This window comes from Homo sapiens, chromosome 18, assembly GCF_000001405.40.
Source record: "Homo sapiens chromosome 18, GRCh38.p14 Primary Assembly".
In the NCBI taxonomy this organism is placed as follows: domain Eukaryota; kingdom Metazoa; phylum Chordata; class Mammalia; order Primates; family Hominidae; genus Homo; species Homo sapiens.
The window spans coordinates 78,828,907-78,833,700 of record NC_000018.10 but is presented as its reverse complement, the minus strand read 5'-3'; the positions used below and the strand labels follow the sequence as shown (position 1 = coordinate 78,833,700).

At 53.6% G+C, this 4,794-nt stretch overlaps 1 annotated feature.

The window, feature by feature from the left end:
- Nucleotides 4,076–4,582: an enhancer, noted in NCBI's record as "H3K4me1 hESC enhancer chr18:76589119-76589625 (GRCh37/hg19 assembly coordinates)". NCBI's record gives its function as "activates a minimal SCP1, AML or CMV promoter by ChIP-STARR-seq in primed H9 embryonic stem cells {active_cell/tissue: H9 hESC(primed)}" and the evidence as "EXISTENCE:reporter gene assay evidence [ECO:0000049][PMID:30033119]".

Here is a 4,794-nt window from a genome sequence, read left to right as displayed (position 1 = left end):
GAATCAAATGAAGGTTACACCAGTCTGAAACGGCAGCGAGGAAAAGTGCTTGTGTCGTGGGGGCTCCGGCTGGGGAGAGGGTGCCGGGTTGGCTCTGAGCACTGCTGTGGCCCCTGCTGTAGGGCTCGGAGCAGGGCACTTCTCTGTGAGTCTGTTTCTGTCTGTAAAATTGATATAATGATATCACAGAGAATTCAAATCAACGTTTAATGGAAGTCGAATTGACAGCACCCCAATCTTTCCCTTCATTACAGTTGTACTAATTTCTAAACAGGTCTCAATTATAAAGGTGTGTGCTTGTCTTAGTTTTCTAATTGCCTTTAACATTGGGACCTGATGCCCAGGACCCAGCACAGCACTGCAGGGGTGCCGTCCCTCTCACCTTCCTGGCTTAGCTAAAGCCTCGAACTCCTAGAATCTGTTCCTAACCCACTTCCCTCTGGCCAGGTAGCACTGGACTCCTCTCCTGACATCCACACTCCCCTGACCCAACACAACCTTCCACGTGCAGCGTTTGAAGCTGAGTGTGACGCCTTACACAATGAGAATGGATGACTGGAAGTACAGGATTCCTGGGCCCTAAACAGTGTCCGTGAGCTGGGACCAGGAGTGGGAGACGCAGAGCTCTGAGGACCCTGACCCAGGAAAGGTCGAGCAAGTCAGCAAAGCAGGGGCAGGAGGCCAGTTCAGAGGCTGAGAAGAGAAGAAGGGAGCCCCAGGCAGGAGGCCAGTTCAAAGGCTGAGAAGAGAAGAAGGGAACCCCAGGCAGGAGGCCAGTTCAGAGGCTGAGAAGGGAAGGAGGGAGGGAGCCCCAGGCAGGAGGCCAGTTCAAAGGCTGAGAAGGGAAGGAGGGAGCCCCAGGCAGGAGGCCAGTTCAGAGGCTGAGAAGGGAAGGAGGGAGCCCCAGGCAGGAGGCCAGTTCAGAGGCTGAGAAGGGAAGGGGGGAGCTCCAGGCAGGAGGCCAGTTCAGAGGCTGAGAAGAGAAGGAGGGAGCACCAGGCAGGAGGCCAGTTCAGAGGCTGAGAAGAGAAGGAGGGAGCACCAGGCAGGAGGCCAGTTCAGAGGCTGAGAAGAGAAGGAGGGAGCACCAGGCAGGAGGCCAGTTCAGAGGCTGAGAAGAGAAGGAGGGAGCCCCAGGCAGGAGGCCAGTTCAGAGGCTGAGAAGGGAAGGAGGGAGCCCCAGGCAGGAGGCCAGTTCAAAGGCTGAGAAGGGAAGGAGGGAGCACCAGGCAGGAGGCCAGTTCAGAGGCTGAGAAGAGAAGGAGGGAGCCCCAGGCAGGAGGCCAGTTCAGAGGCTGAGAAGGGAAGGAGGGAGCACCAGGCAGGAGGCCAGTTCAGAGGCTGAGAAGAGAAGGAGGGAGCCCCAGGCAGGAGGCCAGTTCAAAGGCTGAGGAGGGAAGGAGGGTGGGAGCCCCAGGCAGGAGGCCAGTTCAGAGGCTGAGAAGGGAATGAGGGAGCACCAGGCAGGAGGCCAGTTCAGAGGCTGAGAAGGGAAGGAGGGAGCCCCAGGCAGGAGGCCAGTTCAAAGGCTGAGGAGGGAAGGAGGGTGGGAGCCCCAGGCAGGAGGCCAGTTCAGAGGCTGAGAAGAGAAGGAGGGAGCCCCAGGCAGGAGGCCAGTTCAGAGGCTGAGAAGAGAAGGAGGGAGCCCCAGGCAGGAGGCCAGTTCAGAGGCTGAGAAGGGAAGGAGGGAGCCCCAGGCAGCAGGCCAGTTCAGTGGCTGAGAAGGGAAGGAGGGAGCCCCAGGCAGGAGGCCAGTTCAAAGGCTGAGAAGAGAAGGAGGGAGCTCCAGCCGAGGAGGGCATGGGGGTGGAGAGTGTGAGTGTGAGGGGAGAAAATGTGTGTGTAGGTGAGTGTAGGTGTGTGTGTGTGGGGGGGGGACAGAAAACATGAGGGGTAGAGAGTGTGAGTGTAAGGACCTGAGGGTGCCTGTGGGTGGTGTGTAAGAATACACGTGTATGAGTGTGAGTGTATGGAGGACAGAAGTGTGTGTGAGTGTGTGTGTGTGCAGGCACCAGAAGCTGGGGTGGACAGGGAAGGACGTCAGGAGGCATTCAAGAAACAGAATTGACAGGCTGTGGCCATTCCTTGGATGGCAAACTGAGGATAAGGATGAAATAAATAACGGTGAAAAGAAATTCTGAGAAAAAAATACTAAAAGAAAACATAAAAATAGATAAAAGGCAAAATAAGAGTTAAGAGCAAATAAGATATAATGGAACAAAAAACTTAGAAGGTACAAAGCAAAAAGATAAAATAAGCTCAGAATAGTGATAAAAAGAAGAAATAGAATAATTTCAACAGCTGGGAAAGATCCAAGGTAGATGTAAGTGTAAAGCTAAATTTATGTCAATTTAAATTAATAGAAAATAGTAATAGTGTAACTTGTAAGAAAGGTAAAATGGAAACTGTAAAACAATAAACAGAAAGAAAGTGTGAGTGAAGGTGGGTGGGCCTGGGCCCTGGCAGGGACACCCACAGACTCTCCTGGAGGCCACCAAACCTTCTTCCCAGGTGGGACTTCTCGGCCACGGGGCTGTGCAGAGCCCTTAGGGAAATGATGGCAAGGCTCCAGCGGCTGAGCTCACGTTAGGTTTCATACTCCTTGGGCTAGGAGTGGGGAGGATGGGGCAGAGAGGTCATGGTGGGCAGCCCATGACGGGCAGCCAGTCTGTTCGCCCGACCTCCACACGCAGGGCAGCGAGATGTCTCCTCAGGCAGGTTTCTCAACTGGATCAGCCCACTGGAGGTCAGCAGCCAGGGAGCTTGGCAGAATATTCACCTCTTTCGCCTGCAGCCGTTCCTGGTCTCTCCAATTCCTCTGGGTTCTTTCTCAGCCTGGTACTGAAGGGAAAAAAAGAGAAGTGAGTTAAATTTCTAAACTCACTAAATTTTCAGATTATCCATAGGACAGTTTGAGAGAAAGAAGGATGAGAAGGATTCCCTGTGCAGGTCCAGAGTGAAGGGTGTGTGCTCTATTTGGGGACAGGAACCTGTCAGATGCGTTCCTCTCATTCTCACATAACAAACATTTCACACCATCCACCTCTCCGATTGCACCTGTGGCACGGTGGGCACTGAGGTGCATGGGCGGCCTTGGCCTTGCTGGTTGTGTGAGAACCTCAGGGCCACTTCTTTAGGTATCTTCCGCCACAGTAACTTGGCTATTGATTCATAGAGATATTCCACTTTTCGGCGCAGCTTTATCCTTTGTCAAATTGTGATTAGTTTGGTATTGAGTGCATGTGCAGCCACACGCAAGGTGTTTATGTAAATTTGAAAAGAGACTAGTCCTTTATAATCTGTTGAGGGCACAAGGCTTGCACACCTGCGACACACTCACACTCAATCACACTCATACATTCACACACACACACCCAGCAAGAACACAGAGCGATAGCATAACGAAGGGCAGGGTTGGACGGACCAGGCTTCCTGTTGGGTGGGCGTTCTAGAAGGGGCCAGAGGATACATCAAGGGTTTGAAATCGAAACAGGATCATTTGTGGAGAACAGGAGGACAAGATGGCAGACTCAGGCCCATCTGCCCTTGGCTTTCAGCTGCACTCATGCCAGGAGGTGACCTTAGACAACTCATAACCTCTCACATTTATTAAATAGGGTGATTACGGTGGCTTCCTCGACCGCTCCTTAGATCAGCCCTCCCTCTCACCAGCTACTCCTCAGTGTTTGCTGTGTGTCTGTTCACGAGTGGGTCTGTGGGGCTCAGAGTTGGGCCTCTGCTGTCCTTTTCTGTATCCCTAACTTCAAGAATGTGCATGGGCCGGATGCGGTGGCCCATGCCTGTCATCCCAGCATCCTGGGAGGCTGAGGTGGGAGGATCACTTGAGCCCAGGAGTTTGAGACCAGAGTGGGCAATATGGTGAAACCCCCTCTCTACAAAAAATACAAAAATTAGCCGGGCGTGTTGGCACACACCTCTGGTCCCAGCTAATCATGAGGCTGAAGTGGGAATCTCGCTTGAGCCTGGGAGATCAAGGCTGCAGTGAGCTGTGATTGCACCACTGCACCCCAGTCTGGGTGACAGAGCGAGACCTCGTCTCAAAATAAAATAAATAAATGAAACAACCAAATATGGCTGCTGCATGACAGGGTCCCAGTAAGTACCGGTTGATGGAATAACCAGATAGACGGGATGAAGTTTGCAAACCCTGGACATAGCTCACGCTCAGTGGATACTCGCAGATTTTGTTGTTGTCTGTGTATGGGATTACTGAGTTAGGCTATGGAAGACGGGGCTCTAATGAGATCCGCTGAAGTACAAGCCCCACAGACCAGGAAGCCGTTTTGTTCTTGGTGCATCCTGAGCCTGGCATGGAGCCTAGCCTGTGACGGGCGGGTGCCCAGGAAGTAACTGCCGAGTGAATGAACAGCGTGAGCCTCAAGCTGTCTTCTTGCTCAACACAGGACTGGGCAGCACTGGTCCTCTTGCCTCTCATGGGTTGCAGGCTGGTTCTCCCCATGCAGAACCGCCCTGGAATGCAGGGGACCAGCAAAGGCCACGGCGGGGAGTGTGCAGACGACTCAGCCTGTCCCAGAGCTCAGTGCACCTCCTTTGGCGCCTGCCGACGCAGCCTGTCCCAGAGCTCAGTGCACCTCCTTTGGCGCCTGCCGACGCAGCCTGTCCCAGAGCTCAGTGCACCTCCTTTGGCGCCTGCCTTTGAGAGTGCCGTGCCCCCCGCAGGGGCTCAAATTGGCTCTCAGAAAACCACACAAGGTGTCTTGAGCGGCCTCCAGTTCCTCAGTGCATTTATCTGTGTGGTGTCAGGGTGTGGAT